This window comes from Homo sapiens, chromosome 1 (assembly GCF_000001405.40).
Source record: "Homo sapiens chromosome 1, GRCh38.p14 Primary Assembly".
NCBI lineage: Eukaryota > Metazoa > Chordata > Mammalia > Primates > Hominidae > Homo > Homo sapiens.
The window spans coordinates 111,999,453-112,017,617 of record NC_000001.11 but is presented as its reverse complement, the minus strand read 5'-3'; the positions used below and the strand labels follow the sequence as shown (position 1 = coordinate 112,017,617).

Below are 18,165 nucleotides of genomic sequence, written 5' to 3'. Positions count from 1 at the left end.
TTCTGTGAAATGAAAGCACAAGGTTAAATGGTCTCTTCTGGCTCTAAAATCGTGTGGGTTTTTAACGGAGAGAAAAATGCACTCAGTTCCCTCTTAGTTAATACCCCTTGTGGACTGCCTGCCAGTGTGAAACTCAAGGTCAAGGGTACGAGTAAAGCCCTCCTTACCTATCAGTTCATCCTGACTGAAGGCAAACAGGGGGTCTCTTGAGAGCTGGATTTACAAGCTGAACCCATCACGTGACAACAGGCAACCCACTCAGAGCGGGTGGAGGTCCAACACAGATCCTGGCTCCTCTTACAACTCTGGGGGAACCTGGCCTTGGCTCATCCCTGGAATGGTGTCTGCCTCTCCATAGCTGTTTGTGAGGGTCTGCCCTCTGACACCTTGTCTTCAGGCTTTAATTGACACACGTGCCAAGCCATGCACTGTGTGCCAGGGACCCAGCTGTGAACAAAGACCCTCACAGTCTAAAAGGGAAAACAGACATTAAACAACAACTACGAATGATTTATTAGAAAATCCTGAGCATGCAAAGTGCTATGCGAAGTAACTACAGAAGCACTTAATATTGCTAATTTAGTACCCCAGGCTAAAAAAGCGATTTAAACTGACCCCTCAAGGATGAGCTGGAGTTAGATGAAGAGAGGGAAGAATATGCTGGACTGAGGAAATAGCTTTGAAGAGGTGACAGAGGACCCCTCTCTGGGACTTTCCTCCTATCATGCCACCATGTTTACCAAGGTTCCATATGGCAGCTAAGATTTAGAGGGATAATGGTAGTCATTCATTTGTTCATTCATTCATAGCCATTATTATGTACTTACTATATGCTGGGATATAGCAGTGAAGAAGCAGAACAAACCCTCCTAAATAATTCTGCCCTAATGAAACTTATATTCTAGTGGAGAAGGCAGACAAATGTATAATAAAATATGATGATATTAATATAGAAAAAAGCAGGAAATTGATAAAGAAATTGTCCGTTCTGGGGGTGGGAAAACAACATTATATGAGGTGGTCAGGGAAGGCCTTATAGTGAAAAACCTAAAAGAGTTGGGGTGGGTGGGGAGACTTGTCATACCCAGGTGAAGAGAATTCCCTGCAGAGGGAACAGCAATTGCAAAGGCTGTGAGGCAGGAGTCTGCCCACCCAACTTGAGGAAAGGCAAGGAGGCCAGCACAGTCAAGAACAAAGTGAGCAGAGGGTTGGGGGGTGAGGCCAAGGGGGCTATGGGGCCAAGTTTTCTGTGACTTTAGAGGGCATTTAAGGATTTGGGCTTTTCCTTGAATGAGGAGTTTGAGCAGGAGTAACATGATATGACACATAATTTCAGAGGATCACTCGGAGTGGCTGTTGAGAAAAGACTGTAGGGATTCAGGCAAGGGTGGACCAAGGAAGCCCATGTCAGAGACTGGTGATGTGGACTAGGATAGCAGGGACTGAAGTAATGAGAAGTGTTAGATTCTGGGTATATTTTAAAGGAAGAGCCAATAAGATTGGTTGATGGATTGGATATGGGGTATGAAAGAAAGAGGAATCAAAGGGAACACCAAGATTTTTGGCTTGAGTGTCTGGAAAAATGAAGTTGCTATTTATGACGTGGGAAAGGCTATAGGAGGAGTCGGTTTAGAGGGAGAAATCAGAGAGGCTATCACTGGGACATGTTAAGTCTGAGATCTCCATTAGACATCCAATGGAGACAAGCAATAAGAGTTCAGGGAAGAGGTCTGGAAGGAGATAAAAACAACATAGGAGTTGTCAGATATTTAGAGCCACAAGACTAGATGAGATTATCTACAGAGTGAGGGTAGATGGGAGAAGGGAGAGGTCCCTGAAGCCCTACAGCACTGAGGAAGAACTTGCAAAGGAAAACTTCAAAAGAAGCCATGATCAAAGCTACCTTGAGTAGGCCAAACTTTATTCTTTACCAGCTCTTTCCACCCACCTCATGCTAGCCTCCTCAGCATCCAATGCCTGACACAACGCACACACAAACACATAAACCCAAGTCAATTTCCTGGTTCAGCCCCCGACTCTTCATGATGCTCTTAAAGACCCCAGCCCAGAACTCAGGGAGATGGATTTGAAGGTCTCCTCCCATCTCCTTGCTCCATGCTATGCAATGATTAAATCCTTTCTCTGCTTCAAACCCTGCTGTCTCAGTGCAATTGGTCTGTTTCTGTGCAGTAAGCATGTGAACCTGCTGGTCCTGCAACATTTCCTTTGTGTTCTATGCCCCTGCAAAGAACTGCAAGAATGTGAAGCACCGTCCCCAACCATGCTGCATGTGGGGCAGGCTTGGACAGGGGCAGGAAAGCTTTCTTACTGGAGATTGGCACCCTAAAATGTTATTTTCATATTCCTTCCCTATTGTTAATTCTACTGATCACTGATCACACTGCTATGCCCATGGAAGAATTATGGAGAAGAGATCTCCTATGTACATTCATAATAACGTGAACTTTAAAAAAGGTGTTTGATTTTGAATACCAGGGATATTATGGAGCTCTCACACCAAAGAATGAGTCATCTCATCTAACCCCTTCCTCTGGGGACATCTGAGCCAGTTTCAGGTAGCCCGGTTGCTGTATATTCTGTTCCTGGGATCTCGAAGAGGAGTTGGGCAGGGAGCCTTAGTGGCCTCACCATGTGCCATGTGCCAGCTATTGGCCATAGCCATAACCATCTTTACTCTCATGAAGTTCTTCCTGATCTTTCAACTAAAGTTCTCTTGCTGTGGGTTAAGGTCAATCTCTCTTGCATTCTCCTCTTTGAGCCTGTTGAATGGTGACTGGCCACTCAGTCATTCTGTCTCCTGACAATCTGGTGGGGCACCATACTAGATATCATCTGCTCTCCTGTGTCTCATTGTCCTCAGGTCCCAGTAGCACATGAAGTGAACAAATTAAAGGGCTACTGGCAATTTTGTCCTCAGTGGTCTGACTTGCTGATATGGTGAGGAGCACCCAGTGTAAAAGCCAATGGAACCATTGCTTGAGAGAGCTGGGGAGAACTGGGAAGGGGAATGGGCCCAGACCCTCTGTGGGGAAACCAAAAATATATGTGCCTCAAATGAACCCCAGGGGATGGAGAGGCCAAATTAATACAATCTACTGTTAGATGAAAGTCAGACAGAACAAAAATGAGCAGCCAGGGAACCCAGATGCCAGCAGCATCCCTTCATTCTGATGTCCCATTAGAACCCCTGTTTTGTATAACCAGTGTATACCTATAAAGCAAGGGATTTGGGAAGCAAAGAACAGCTGACAGAGGTGTCAATAAGCCAATTTGTGGCTTGTTAGAGTGTTACGCTTGTTTATCGGCATTTAACGAGACAAGACATTGATGTTAACACAGTGGGAGGGAAGCTGTCTGGACCAATAGTATCCCTTGCTGAAAATTAATTTAAACTCTCTTTTCTTTGTGCCAGAAATGGTAGAGCTAATTCATTATCAAAGTGTTGAAATGCCATTGAAAATGAGTTAGGGTAGTAGGGAAGAGTCATCAGCAGCTGAAAAAAATCCCAATTTAGCTTTCTTTTGGTAACCTCTAGTAAATGAGACATCATGAAATAATATGCTTTATGGCAGGGAACAAAACAACAAGCGCTTATTTAATTGGGGGATGGGGAAGGCTGCAGGGCTGGGAAAGGAGTTTCATGTATGTATTTTTGGAAAACTATGAGTTGCTGTCGCCACAGCCCCATTCGCAGCCACTCTGCACGCATGGCAACTCAGCAGTCTGTGTTTTGGACCTCTGTTGGCTTGAAGAGTCCAGGGTTGTGGCAAGGCCAAGTTCTTTTACTGAGCTTCTGTGAAATCTCTGTTCAGATCATTTACAAGATCTCGGCTCCATGTGATGGTCTGCGGCTGAAGCTGGGCACAGCATTTCTCATCCTGCTTGTTCACGCTTCCCATTCAGCAGTAACATGGGTCACATGACCCGAATTGGAGCAGTTTTTGTTTTTTGCTCCTTGTCGTATATACCTTTGGCCACTTTATTTTCCTGGGGAAATTTCAGACGTGAAAACTACAACTCATCAGGACTTAACCACTATGAGATTGAAGTAATCATTTGGCTCACTACAAACTCTTTGTCTTTCCATTCTGTCTGTGCCCACATTTGAACCAGCACAGGAAAGATGGAGAGGGAGTCATGAGGCCAAGTTACTCTGGGTTGGCCGGGTTCTTCTTCAGAAGATCCCCCCTCATCTCATCCATCCCAAGCAGAAGAGGTATGGAGGGGGAGACCTCTGCAAGAGCTTCAAGGTAGAAAGCACAATTCTGACATCTTTCTGGGTTCTGCAGACTTGTCATTAGGCCAATTTCCTCACCCCCTCTATTCATGCCCCTTGCCCTGTGACTCTGCAGTTCTTCCCATAAATGAGTGGTCGCTTTCCCTCTCCTTAGCTTTGTCACTGGCCATGTGGCAGTGTGACAGTTCTGAGCCTAGGTTTTAAGAGGCATTGTATGCTCTTGCTCATCTTCAGGTGCTTCTGACATCCCCATTGGTCCCAGAGGGAGAATGAGAGATACATGGTACAGAGCTGTATCCCAACTGTCCAGCCAAGTCTGGCTGAGACCAGCTGACTGCAGGTGACCCACATCTGTGAGCTAAATAAATAATCACTCCTGTACAGTGCCAAGATCTGGGGTGCTCTGTTACACAGCAATAGCAAATCATAATGCCCCATTCGAAGCAGAAAAGAGAGTCTTATGTACAAGAAGAACAATCCTTTGGAGGGAAAGACTGACCTCTACTTAGGCAATTATCTAAAATTAAGAGAGTCAGGGCATATTTCCAGCCTGAATGCCCTTCTTAGAGTGAACTGTGCTACTGCACTGTCACTAGGGCCCCCTCTCTGCCTCTGTCCCCTCTCTGGGCAAATAGGGAAATGCCACAGTTTCACCTGAAGAAGCTACCTTTCTAGAGTTTGAGTACCTGTTTCTCTCATCCTCTCACCATCTCAAAAGGAGGGGAAAAAAACCCTGTATCTGTTAAGGACCCATTCCAAACAATTGTATTGGAATCTTCCTTAGACTCCTTATCCCATTCATGATAGGAAGATAGGATTGATAGTTCCAGGATTCAAGGGCCAAACACATAGGAGAGTCTTTGTTCAGGGACTGCCATGTGCCCAGAGAGCCTGTCCTTCCATGCCTTCCAGCCCACTGACAGAGCCGAGAGCTCAGGACAGTATAAAAGGGTGTAATATGGTTTTGTCAAAGCCTTCATAATATGAGCACAGGTCTGGCAGCTTGAATGTGAGCTGTTTGGGGATAAAAACCTAGATTATTCATTTTTCTGCTCATGAAAGGCTAGCGATTGCTACGTTTCCACTAAGCCTGGTTGGCATATAGCACAGAACCTCCTTTTTTCCTGCCGTTTATATAAATGGACTCACCTTGCCCAGGCTCTCTGCTGCAAATGTGTGATTAAAGGATTATAATGGTGATGGAAATAGTAATCATGTCTGTTTTCAGACAGAGCCGTCCCTCCAGGGGCCCAAAGTGGTTGTGCTCTTATTCATACCTGTAAGGAAAGGGAACCTAGCAGGCACTTTCATAGATGAGCCCATAGGGCCCCACAGAGAGTAGGATCTTACTTCAGGATACCCAGCCCACAGGCTTCTAGCTTTGATGGGATGGAGGTGGAGGGTGGCTGTTGAAAGAGAGTTTAGAGCCTACAGACAGCCAGACCACCAGATCACCCAGACTAGAATTGGAGCATTATCCATTGTGGTGGGTGAGTAGCATAGGGGCAAACCTACCAGCAATGGGAGGTGGCCAGCCCACCAAGCAAAGATATTTATTTGGAAAACACATCATGGGAGCTAGACAGACACCCTAACTGGTGGTCAGCATCAGGAAGGTCCAGTAGTTGGTGTCTAGTTACTGAACAGAGCACAGAAAAGGGGATCTAGAAACAAGCAGTGCACAGTGGTTCCAGGTAGAGGTTCTGGAATCAGCATCAGGATAGGGTCAAGGGCAGGACTGAACTCCTACAGAGGGAGGACTCAGAACAGCAAGGCAGGACCCAGGCTCAGAGGAGCAACGGGGTGAAGCAGATTATCAGGGATGTCCAGCCTGATCACTAGAGCCAGGCAGAAATCCTACTCAGCTGACTCAAAGGCCAGAGCAGGCCCAGCAGCCAGATCAATTGGTGCTGACTCACCAAAACCACTCACTAGACTCATTCTTTGGAAATAAAAGTCTGGCTCCAGCACCCAGGGAAAGGCTTATTACGCTGCTGGGAGGACAGTGAAGGAGGTGGGAGGAGCACCACAAAAGCCATTTAAGTGCAGTCTTCTGGAGGTCATCAGGATTTTGGATTGCTCCCAAACAGAATTTTGCCTTATGGAAAAACAAAACTTCAACTAACTTCAACTAGTCACGTATCATGATAAAAGTCCAGTGTTCTAGCCCAGGCTGCACCACTGCCTCACCATGGGACTTAGGCTGAGTAGCCTCCCTTGGCCCTGCCTCAGTTTCCCCACCTCCCTAACTCCCTCCTTCACATCATTGTTATGAAGAACACATGAAATAACATATGAAATCACTTTGAAAAAATATAACAGTAAGGTGTTTTCGGTATTAATATTTACGTGACATATGCATCATCTTCTCTCAAAATTGAATTTCCCAAGGCTGATTTGCCAGTTTGAGGACTATCTCTAGTCCTTTTGCTCCTTTTCCCTGATCCCCCACTCTTGGCCATTTCCTTATCCCTCATCTCCCAGCAGAGGCTTCAGTGATTTTAGAAGAGATAGAGCCATAACATGTGAGAGAACTGCTGGGGCTGGGAAGCTAGGGATCATCTGGTCAACCTTTTCATTTCAGTAGTAGGCCTTTTCACACATGAGAGATGTTACCTGACCAACGTCACACTCCTAGTTAATACAGAGCCAGAAAGCAGTGACTGGCATACAGTGGAAACTCAGAATACGGTAGCCTCTCTTATTATCATTGCAACTATACCATGCTTTCACAAAGCAATTTATTTTGCTACTTAGTAATAACTTTGATAGAAGGTTGGTATTGGAAATAGTGAGAATTGAACAAGAGGCAAGTCATAATTAATGTTACAAAGGGCATTTTTAGATTATCCAATGTCACCTTCAATGCCTCCTCCTCCAGGAAGCCAAAGCTGATCAGGATCCTTTCCCATATTCTCATTATATCTCCTTGTATCTCAGACTTATCCCACCATGCTAAACTGAAATTACTTCTTTTTTTTTTTCTCTCCCCTTCTAGACTTGAGATTGCTTGAGTGTAGGGACTGTGGTTTTCTCAAAGTTGAATCCACAGTGCTTAATGTTTAATATATGAAACTGTAGATTGTATTAGAGTTCAGCAATCTGTAGGATATATCTTAGATGTTCCCATTTCTTTTTTTTTTTTTTTTTTTTTTGAGATGGAGTCTTGCTCTTTCACCCAGTCTGGAGTGCAGTGGTGTGGTCTCGGCTCACTGCAAGCTCCCCCTCCGGGTTCACGCCATTCTCCTGCCTCAGCTCCCAAGTAGCTGGGACTACAGGTGCCCGCCACCATGCCCGGCTAATTTTTTGTATTTTTAGTAGAGACGGGGTTTCACCATGTTAGCCAGGATGGTCTTGATCTCCTGACCTCGTGATCCACCCACCTCAGCCTCCCAGAGTGCTGGGATTACAGGCGTGAGCCACTGTGCCTGGCCTAGATGTTCCCATTTCTTTGAGCTCATGGGCCCAGAGAACCCTAGTGCTCAACAAACCTTAGTTATCATCCCAGTTGCTTTATGTATAATCTGCACAACTTTAATAAAGTCACTTACCCTCTTCAAGCTCCAGTTTTGTTATAACTAAAAAAAGGCGGCTATTTATGAAAGGCAATTTGTCAATAACTATCACATTTACAAATGAATAAAGCCTTTGCCCAAACAATTCCTGTTATAGAAATTTGTCTTCACATACACTCCTATATACCCTACAGGTATACTTACCCACAGGTTATTCATTACAGTTTTATTTGTAAAGGTTAACAATTGGAAACAACTTAAATTGGTTAAAGAAACTAATTTCTATAATATAATACTATGCAGCCACCAAAAAGAATGATGTAAGCCTACATATACTGATATAGAATAAGCTCCAAAGTATAATATTAAATGAAAAAAAATGCAAGGTGCATGAAAGTGTGTAAAGCAAGCTTTCAATTCATGGAGAGGGGAGAGAGAATATATGTGTATATTTGCTTATATATACATAAATACCTCTGGAAGTTACTCAGGGAACTAGTGACATTTAGTGGAACCATGTGAATAGGAATATATTTTCAAAGAAAAAAGAAAAGGAAAGAAAGAAAGAAGAAAGAAAGAAAGAAACAAAGAAAGAAAGAAAGAAAGAAAGAAAGAAAGAAAGAAAGAAAGAAAGAAAGGAAAAAAGGTCCCAACCTACTCATTCATCTGTTGAGAAGCATGTGGGATGACCCCTATGAAGGCACACTGTCCAAGTCAGGATGTGATACCAGTGTGGGGACCGGCACGGCTCTCAGGCCTTGGTTTACCTATTGCCTCTGAATTGCATAACTTTTTTCCAATCAAGATTCTGTCCTGATCACTCATAGAAGATCCATAGCACAACCATCCAGCAACATGTAGATAAAATATTTCCACTCTCCATTGTGAGAAATCTCTTGTGAGGCATAGAAGGAAGGAGAGCTCTCCCTAAAAGAGTATAGGGGTTGACTCTCGAAGGGGTCTTATTATGCCAGGGTCTGAGGTCAGCTGCCTGCAGCACTCTCCCTCTTTGTCTCATAGTGAACAAGCTGATGTGGGCTTTCCAGCTTCAGCACGTATACAGGTTGTGGCAACTTTCCTAGGGAGAACCTAGGAAAGGTTGTCCCTGTAGCTAGCAGTTTCCTTTGTCTCTTTTATCCCCTTGATGGTTATCTTTCTAAGGTTTCATTGCTTTTAGAGTTACGAGGGAGATTCAACCCTAAAGGAAGATAACTGTGAGCTACTGACCAGAAAATCAGGCCTAGTTATGTTCTAGTAATTATGTGACTCAATATGAAGGAGATTGAAAAGAACCACTGACTCAAAATCCCTTTCCCACACATGCCTGAAATCACACCATTAGCCACTTATGTGTAAAGCCTTGTCATCATAGGTCCTCTCTTTAGATTTCCCTGGGAATGGTAATGTCTTTGAAAGAATTAGCTTAAATGAACATTCATTCATTCAATGATTATTGCATGTTTATTTATGCCACTCTACCAAGTACCTGGACATATGGGTAAATAAGATAATCATTGACTTTAATAATAAATATCATAACAATAATAATAATGATGATGATGATGACAATGATGATAGCTAACACTTTCTGAATGTTTATTATGTGACTGGCACTCTTCCAATCTCTTTACGTGTGTTTGCGCTGAATTCTTATAATAAATATGAGGAAGATAATGTTATCTCCATTTGTTAGATGAGGAAACTGAGGCACAGAGAAGTTAAGTAGCTTGTCTAGGGTTCCATACCAGGTAAGTAGCTAAGCTGGTATGTGAACTTTTAATCTAACAGATATTTTTCCAGGAAGGGGCCGTAGCTAGGAGTTGAAGGCCTGGGTTCTTTCTCCCTGAGTCATGGAGGGAAGGGAGGTGATCCAGAGTGAGATGACAGATGGTCCTCAAGCCCAGGTCCTGTCCTGGTGATGTTGAGAAGACCTCAAGCTGCATACAGATTTGAGGAGACCAGAGAGAGATTAATCAAGTGACAAGGAAATTGCATGGAAACCAGCCAGGATGAATGGTATGCCCAGTAAACAGAAGAAGCAAACCTAGGGAAAGAGCCTGGGCTGAGTCAGGATCCTGAGGGCTGCAAAAACAAGCACATTTTACCCAAAAGCAGCATGAGGCTTGGGATCCAGGTAGCCCAGCAACCAAGCAAAACTAGAGAAATAAATCTGCCTGGCAGCAGTGTGAAAATTTGAGCTTTAGTAAGGAAGGATATAGTGACCCAAAGGATCTGGCTACATGAGGAGTCTACCAAATTGAGGTGAGACAGTAATGGTCTGCAATTCCTAAACCATATTTCAACGTCAAGCTCAGCCAAGTTGAAAGGAATTGAGAATCTGCTTTGGGCCTGGCTGAATGTCCCCAAGCTCATCGTAAGTGGCTTGGAGTTGGATTGACTGAGCCACTTAGGATCAGGCCAGAGACTAAGCCTGACACATTAAATTCAGGTTTGTCAGGGGGCACTTAGCTGGTCTCCCTCCCTTCTCATGCAAATTATGGATATGCCACTGAGAGGGGGAGATTGTTTCTTCCTAAAGTGCTCCCTGGGACATGGAATTGAGCCCTGAATAATAACTTCATTCTTTTTCTAAGTTTCCCTGCCAGATCTCCCTGGCTGAAGAGGAAGCTGTGTGCTTGCAAGCCAGTCTCCCTCTTTTTGGGCTGTATCTTCTAGGAACTAGGTGATTGGGACAATGGAGGTAGGGAGAAGCCAGTGGGGGTGGGGAGGCTAAAATGGACTCACCTGTCACCGAGTCACATTCAGAACCTGGTCTGCAGCACTCATTTGGGGGCTGGAAATGGAGGGGGAAGAGATGAGCTTTAGCCTATTCTAGAAGAAAACAAATTCTGGGTTTTTTCCTCCCTGATTAGCATTTTTATTGCGTCCCTCCTATTTGCTCTGCCTGCTCATAATTAAATACTGCCCATGGTGTCTCGTCTATCTTGGTAATGTTCTCTTGGACACTGATGAATTGGATTTTCTTTATGGACTCGCTCCACTGAGAGAAAATAAGACTCAAGTTCTGCACCTCACCCCTGGCAGGGTGGCTCAGTCTCAAGAGGGTGTTTGGCACTGAGGTCAGGAGCCTCCTCACAGCACTCTCAAAGTGCCTGATCTGGAGTCTTGGAAAGAAAACGAAAAAAGTACCGGGTCTTCTTGTCCACAGAGCAACCCCAGTGAGAGATGACCGAGGATATGAGGCAGCTGCCTCTGTTCTGCTTGGGAAGGCCTGGGGCCCAGAGCCTGGCAATAATCCTAGAACGTTAGAAGAGAGGGGCTGGGGAGAGGGATGAGGGATGAGGTGCTCTAGAAGGGAGACTCTAGGCTTTCATCCAGGACTCCAAACAGAACTGTGGGGCTGTTTGTAATCCCTGTACTCCCATCTGCCAGACTCACCATTGATCTCTTTACACAACCCAAAATCATAGATCCATAGTCATGGCTGCGGCTGTGCCCCTCGGGTCATCCCTCCTCTATGTCATCATATTCCCTCAGTATCCACTCTATTTCCAAGGAACTGCCTTATACTCTCCATCTTTTTCTCCACCTCTGCTCTTTAACCAAAGCCCAGCATCTCCTCTCATCCTGTCTAACTTGGTCCACAATAAAGGGTGGATGAAGTGAAATTTGAACCTTCTCAAGTGCAGGTTTATCACTGTACAGATTCACAAGATGCGTCCCTAGACCAGCAGCATCAACTTGCATTTGGGAACCTGTTAAAAATGTAAATTCTAGCCCAGCTGGTGGCTCATGCCTGGCCTGTAATCCCAGCACTTTAGGAGGCAGAGGTGGGGGGATTCCTTGAGTCCCGGAAGTCAAGGTGGCAGTGAGTCAGGATCCATGACTGTTCCATTCTGGGGGACAGAGGGAGACTCTGTAAAAAGAAAAAAAAAATAGAAAGAAAGAAAGAAAAAGAGAGAGAGAAAGAAAGAAAGAAGAAAAGAAAGAAAGAGAAAGAAAGAAGGAAGGAAGGAAGGAAGGAAGGAAGGAAAGGAAGAAAGAAAGAAAGAGAAAGAAAGAAAGAAAAAGAAAGAAAGAAAGAAAGAAAGAAAGAAAGAAAGAAAGAAAGAAAGAAAGAAAGAAAGAAAGAAAGGTGAATTCCTGGGTTCCACTCCAACCTAATAAATTAGAGACTCTGGGGGTAGGGCCCAGCCACCTGTGTTGTAATAAGGCCTCCAGTCATTGTGATGCATTTTCACATTTGACAGCCCCTACACTAGCCTGATTTTCCACAACTCCCTCAGCAGCATCTTCCCTGAAGCCCACACCATATGTGTACTACTAACTATTTCCTACCAACAACTGACTCCAGGCCACTCCCCTGCTTCCTAAAAGAAACTAATTGCCCTGCCTCTGACCACTCTCCAAGGAGCAATGCTTGCCTCCTCTCACATCCCTCCTCTGCACCTTCTTCCTGGGCAATGTCATCTTTTCTCACAACTTCAGCTGTCACCTCTAGGCCGATGATTCTCACATGCGCATTTCTAACGAGCAACTCTCTCCCAAGTCCTAGAAATACACTTCTTTCTGCTTATCGGGCACTTGACCTTGAATACACCAGGCACCTCACTCACCTGTGCCAAACAGAACTCCCCCACACTGATGTCCCAGGTTTCTCATTTTAGTTCATTCCCCACCTTGACTCTGCACAGAGATTTCTCTGACTGAGACTTGCAAACACATGATCACCTATAATCTACTATAACCTTCTCATCCCCACTCCCTTATCATCCAAGCAAAGTGGTGGTGGTCAGGGGAAGGGAATGTCATTCCTACACACCCCTCAGGCAGCTCTTTGACATGGGCTTCCATCCTTGTCATTTGTCTTATGTGTCAAAACTTTTCCTGCATTAGAATCGTGGAGAAAATAAGTATTATTTGCACCTCAGGTCCCATCTAGGGACGGTCCTATTCCACAGCAGCTTAGTTTCTAGGATCTCTGATTCCTCTCCACATGCTCAGCAGCCCTGAGCTGTGTGATGAATCTTCCTCCAGCAGAGAAACGATGAAAGGGAGATGTCCCACAGTCCCTAATCTTCCTGTCAGGGTCTGACCCTGACTGGCCATTCTCCTGAAATCTCAGAGTGGTAGCCACACAGACATGTGCTGTCAGGGGACATTCCCTGTGGCTCTGGATCCTGAGCTGCCCCCAGAGAGACCCCTGTCTAGGCAAGCAGCCTAGAATACAGTCACCCTTCAGTAAGTGTTTGTTGAATGAGTAACAAAATGCTGAAGAATGGAAGAGGCTCTCAGAGTACCTTGTGCCAGTCCCTGCCTTTCCAGCCCATCTAACTCCAATGCGTCTATGCAGAAAGGAGCTAAGGCAGCGAAGAGGAAGATGGAGAGACTTGCAAAGAACATTTCTTTGTGATTTTCTCTTCTGTTTGCCTCTGAGGAAGACCTCTGGATCAGGAAACACATGTAGGCTTCCCAGGGCAGCAATCCCTTATCCTTCTTGCCCTCCATCCTGGGCCTGTGCCCTTCCAGGCTATGGGCAGAAAGAAGTAGACAGAGTAGCTTGGAGACAACTTTAAGTGAATTCAATTACCATAGCAACCAAAACCACCAGAATGGAGATTAGGCTCCAGACAGCAGCAATCCTGGCACCCAGGAGAGGCAGCAATCTGAAGGCCATTGCTGCGAGGCCAAGGGGAAAGGGGCACCCAGCTCATCTGCCCAGCATTCTCCAGCTCACTTGTACTTTCCGGACTCTGCAGAGCTCTAACCTAGCAAGCAGCAGACATCCATCCCTGCCTGGAGCTGGAGAGCCTGGAGGGGTATGGGGGTCAGAGCAAGAGCAAATGCTGGCCTCTTATTTCCTAATGTGCCCTTCTATGGAAGGTCAGGGTACTGGTTTGCCTTCTGCACTTCCCTGCAGCATAATATTTAAGAATAGCAGCTCTGGAATCACATTGTTTGGTTTCAAATCCCAGCTCTGCTATCTGATCTTGAGGCAATTGCTGAACTTATCTGTACCTCTGTTTTTTCATCTGATAAACGGGGATGATAGTACCTGCTTCAGAGAAGCATTATAAGGACTATAAAATAAGAATCCAGAGAAAGGCTTAGAACACTGCGTGGCACATAGTAAATGTCAGGCAAGAGCTTCTGTCGCGGTCATTGCTGTTATTGATTTCATAATGACGATGATTCCAGTCTCCAGCACCCCCGGCCCTTGTCTGTTGCCCTGCTCATGAGCACCACCTTTGTCAAGTTAAGGTGCCCAGCCCGAGGCAGGCAGAGATGATTCTTGGGAGACTAATAAATTGGTTCATAGCGGTCAGTCCTCCTCCTGCTCCTGAAGCCAATAAGAACCCAGAGGACTGCACAGGCCACCTGACAAACAACCGAAGGTTTCGCTCTCTGGGGGGCTTCATCTGGGCCCACCAACTGTGGTCAGCCTGGGGAATCTCTGTAAGAACCAAACCCCAGACAGCTGGTGTTCTCATTTACCTACCCATTTCCCTTGAAAGATGTTAAACAAGTCTTTGATCATTTTAGTCCAAAAGAGCTGTTGCCTTCCCTGAGGGTGAACCCTTATCTGTAAAGTGGGGATAAATATAAGGGCCAATTTCAGAAAAATAATTGACCTGTTCATGTAGAACTAAGGGTGAATGTAGGCACCACCTTTATGGCCCTTGTCTCATGTGTTTTCAGGCTTTATTTCCCAATGGCATGTGAGTGTCCAGAGAGCAAAGACACCACCCTTCATTGAAGTGAAGAACTTGAGATCATGGCTAGGGAAGGTATATTCTAGTCCATCTTCAGGGGTTGTGCTCCTTCCTCAAACAGTTTTTGAGCACCAGTGATGGACCAGAACTTGTGCCACTGCTGGGGATGCCAAGATTGACAAGACTTCAGGAGTTCGGCTTGGCAGTGAAGAAAGACCTCAGGGAAACACAATACAAAGTGCTATTTGATGGGGGAGAAAGTGTGGAGAGGACACTTAGGGCAGGACAATTAACCCCACATGGGGTAGTGGGGCTGGGCATCAGAGAGGCCAGGCATCTGGATTGGTGTGGAAGGAAGAAAACAATTTTGCCCAGTGGAGAATTTGGAGGAAAGACTCTGCAGGCAGAGAGAACAGCAGGTGCAAAGAGGAAGTGGGGCAGGCCTGGTGTGTCTGGGGGAAGGTGAGAAGTTTAAGGATGATAAAGCGTATGCACATGCGCATATGCATGCTTGAGCGTATGTGTGTGCACACGTGTGCTGATTGGGGGACACAAAGGGGGTGGGAAGAAGAATGATGGGGGATGAGACCCAAGAGTTAATTGCTCCTCTCATGTCTCAACTGTGATCAGCAGTTCTATAATCCTTTAGCTTCTGTGGCCTGCTATCCTGGGAATTGCTTAGACTTATTTTGAAAATTTATCCCCCTATAACCAAAGGAGTTATTGAGTTTGTTTCAGGTGAACCCAGCCTGTTTCTGAAGATCTGCATTGCTCTCAGGCCTTGAATGTCCCCAGCTGACAGGTGTCTCCAGTCCAGCATAAACAGCTCTGGCTGGAAAAGACCCTGAGAGAGAACTATGACCACCTTCCTTCCTGGAAGGATTGCATCTACACCCGCAGCAGCTCTGCTTTGCATTGCTGTGTCCCAGATTAGCACAGTCATTTGTCCAGGCAGCACAGCCTGACCTGGGACCTTCCTGTGCTGCTCCACATCCAGCCAGAGTCCTGATCATTTTTACCGCAAACATATTTCTCTCATGTTCCCTCTTGTCCATCCCCAGTACCATTGCCCTAGTTGAAGCCCTCCTCATCTCTCTCCTGGAATGCTGCAATAGCCTGCTAATTGGTCCCCCTGCTTCCCATCCGGTCCTCCTCAAATCCATCCTCCATATGGCCGGGCCAGAGTGGTTTTTTCAAACAAGATCTGACTGCATTATGCATCTGCCTAAAGCCCTTGGGTGGCAACTCATGGCCTGCAGAATAGGGTCCAACTCCTAAGCTTGCCACACGAAACCTCCATGGGCTGCTTCCCCCGCTTCGGCCCTGAAGTGCCCTCCCTCTGGCTTCACACTCCAGGCACATGCTTTGATGTTTCATGCCCCGGTGTCTTTGCCCTGTCTGGTGGTCACATCATTCCCCCACTCATTTGGCAGATTCCTGCCTTCTTTCCAGGCTCAGCTCAGATGTCATCTCCTCCAGAGCATCTTCCCTGACAGCTTGGCTGGACCAAATGTCTCCTCCCTGTGCTTCCCTAGAGTCCACACACACCCCTATCACACATACTAGCTCTGCCACTACTGCAGCTGTGTGACGCATGCCTCCAGTTCTTCATCTGAAAATGGAATCATAGCTCTGTCTCATGGGATCATTTTGAGAATTTGTAAATCTAGCTTCTAGTCACCCCTCAGGCTTCACTGACCCCAGATGAGGTTTTAGTAAGCCTAACCATCAGTGCAGAATGCAGATTCACTGTCTGTCTTTCTCTTTAAACATGAGCTGTACTCCAAGAAGGCAAGGTCAGTGTCTATCTTGCTCACCACCATATGCCAGGCACAGCAATTGCATTTCAACATTTGTGTGTAAATGAATGAATGAATTGTTTAAGAAGTGTTTATTGAACTAGCATTAGTGGATAAAGACCTATCAGTTCAAATAAAATGTTTATTGAATGCCAGGTTGCCAGGTTCCCCTGCTAATATGTAGGTGGGGCAGAGGAATACAGATAAGACAAAGTACACTGACAGCAAAGCATGGCCAAAACAGCATCTTGAGTTGGGAGTTGCATTCAACTCAGTAGCACTTGAATAGAGTGAAATGAGGAGTAAAAGCAATCTTCTAGAGAAAAACAGTAAGTCACTCTCTCTCCTGACCCTCATCACCATCCCACTGATGCAAGCAGTGCTGTAATTCACTAAGAAGGCTGTTGTGTTTCCTTTTCTGTCTACGTCAGGAATCTGGAGCAAAGAAGGAACCTGCTAACATTGAACCTGTATTTGCAAAATTGACTCAGGCATTAGTTAAGAAGTCATTAGCTTGCCACTTCGGAGATTCTAGTCTGTCTCAGTGGGAAAAAAGCCCCATGGAGCTATCAGGAAGGGTATTCACTCTGTCATCAACAAAGAAGTTAGAATTTTCTAACTTCTTTAAGCATGTGGCTGTTTTTTTGTTGTTTTTTTCACACCGAGGCTGGCTGTCTCCATTCTTTGTGACTCTGGGCATGATTTAACACATACACTTAAAAAATGGAAGAACAGCTTCTTAAATTTGCAGTAAATATATTGTTCAATAGATTTGATTTACTAGTTATGAGCCATGGAAGAGCCACCATGGCGATTTATTGTCATGCTATCTCAGGCATTGGAGTCACTGCTTCTATCTGCTCCAATCCTATAAAAGTAATCCAATGAAGTGAAAACCCACAGCACTTCTTGGCACCAGCTTGGATTGTGACTGCCACACCCTATTCTGTATATCAAGCCCCCCTTTCAGATGATGGGATAATGGCAGGTAGGAGGGGGAGTGGGGCATGGCCCATGGATTTAGTAGCACTTGTTTCACAGTGGCTGGCTGGGGTCAAGGAGCAGAGGTTTCTGGGTGTTACAGCTTGTGAGAGATTTACAGGGCTCCACTTGCCTCCCTGGTGACTCTGCAGAGGAATTAAGTCGATGGGAAATATGTGTGTGTGTGTGTCTGTGTTGGAAGGAGGGAGGGACTGAGACTCATGATTTAGATGGATTGAGAAGGGTCATCCTCTTGAGAAAAACCTCCACAAAATAGTCTCTGCTTTTGATACCTGAACTGAAAACATCTGCTGTTCCCTAAACATGGCTGGGAAGTGTGGTAAGTTCTATAGTGGGAAAGGGGGTGGGAGTGGGGAAGAAGTATTTCCAAGCTAAGCCCTACATGTAGGAGTTAGCTAAACAGACATGGGGAAGGATAGAGTCCCTGCAGAAGGAACAGCCTGAGCAAACACTCAGGGGTAAAAGCAAACCTGTAAGTTTGGAGAACTGCAGCACTTTCAACATGGCAGGAACACCAGGTTCAAGGGGCCCAGGAGTAGAAAGTGGAAAAGCAGAAGTAATCAATGATTCAGTAACAACAGGAGACACGTTGAGATATGTTTACTCAATTCTGAGGGCAGTGAGAATTATAGAAGGATTTCAACTAACGGTCAACATTGTTGGATATGTGTTTTGAAAAATCACTCTGGCTGCTGTGTGAAATATCCCTAATCCAGGCCAGGAAGCGCAGCCCTGTTGGCATCTACTGCTCAGCATCTACACAGTTGCTGGGGAGGGAATGATGTGTGGACCCTGCTCTCAGGACTGTCTGGAGAACAGGGTCAGACAGAGCTCCTTCTGTTTAAGGAAGTCATATCCAAATTATGTTACCAGTGAGTACAGGAGGGCCATAAGATGATTGTCTGAGAGTTAACTAG

The 18,165-nt window shown here is 45.5% G+C and overlaps 1 long non-coding RNA gene across 2 annotated transcripts; it reads right to left on the bottom strand.

Annotated features, from left to right (window-relative positions):
• Positions 1-9,359: 9,359 nt before the first annotated feature.
• Positions 9,360-11,685, bottom strand: LOC105378906 (uncharacterized). 2 transcript variants are annotated; one of them, XR_947706.2, is made up of 3 exons: positions 11,410-11,685; positions 10,519-10,567; positions 9,360-9,710 (listed from the first exon to the last, which is right to left on the bottom strand). It is a non-coding gene; the product is annotated as an uncharacterized LOC105378906 (long non-coding RNA). The 2 variants fall into 2 exon arrangements; XR_947707.3 differs by lacking the exon at positions 11,410-11,685 and adding an exon at positions 11,173-11,260.
• Positions 11,686-18,165: the final 6,480 nt, after the last annotated feature.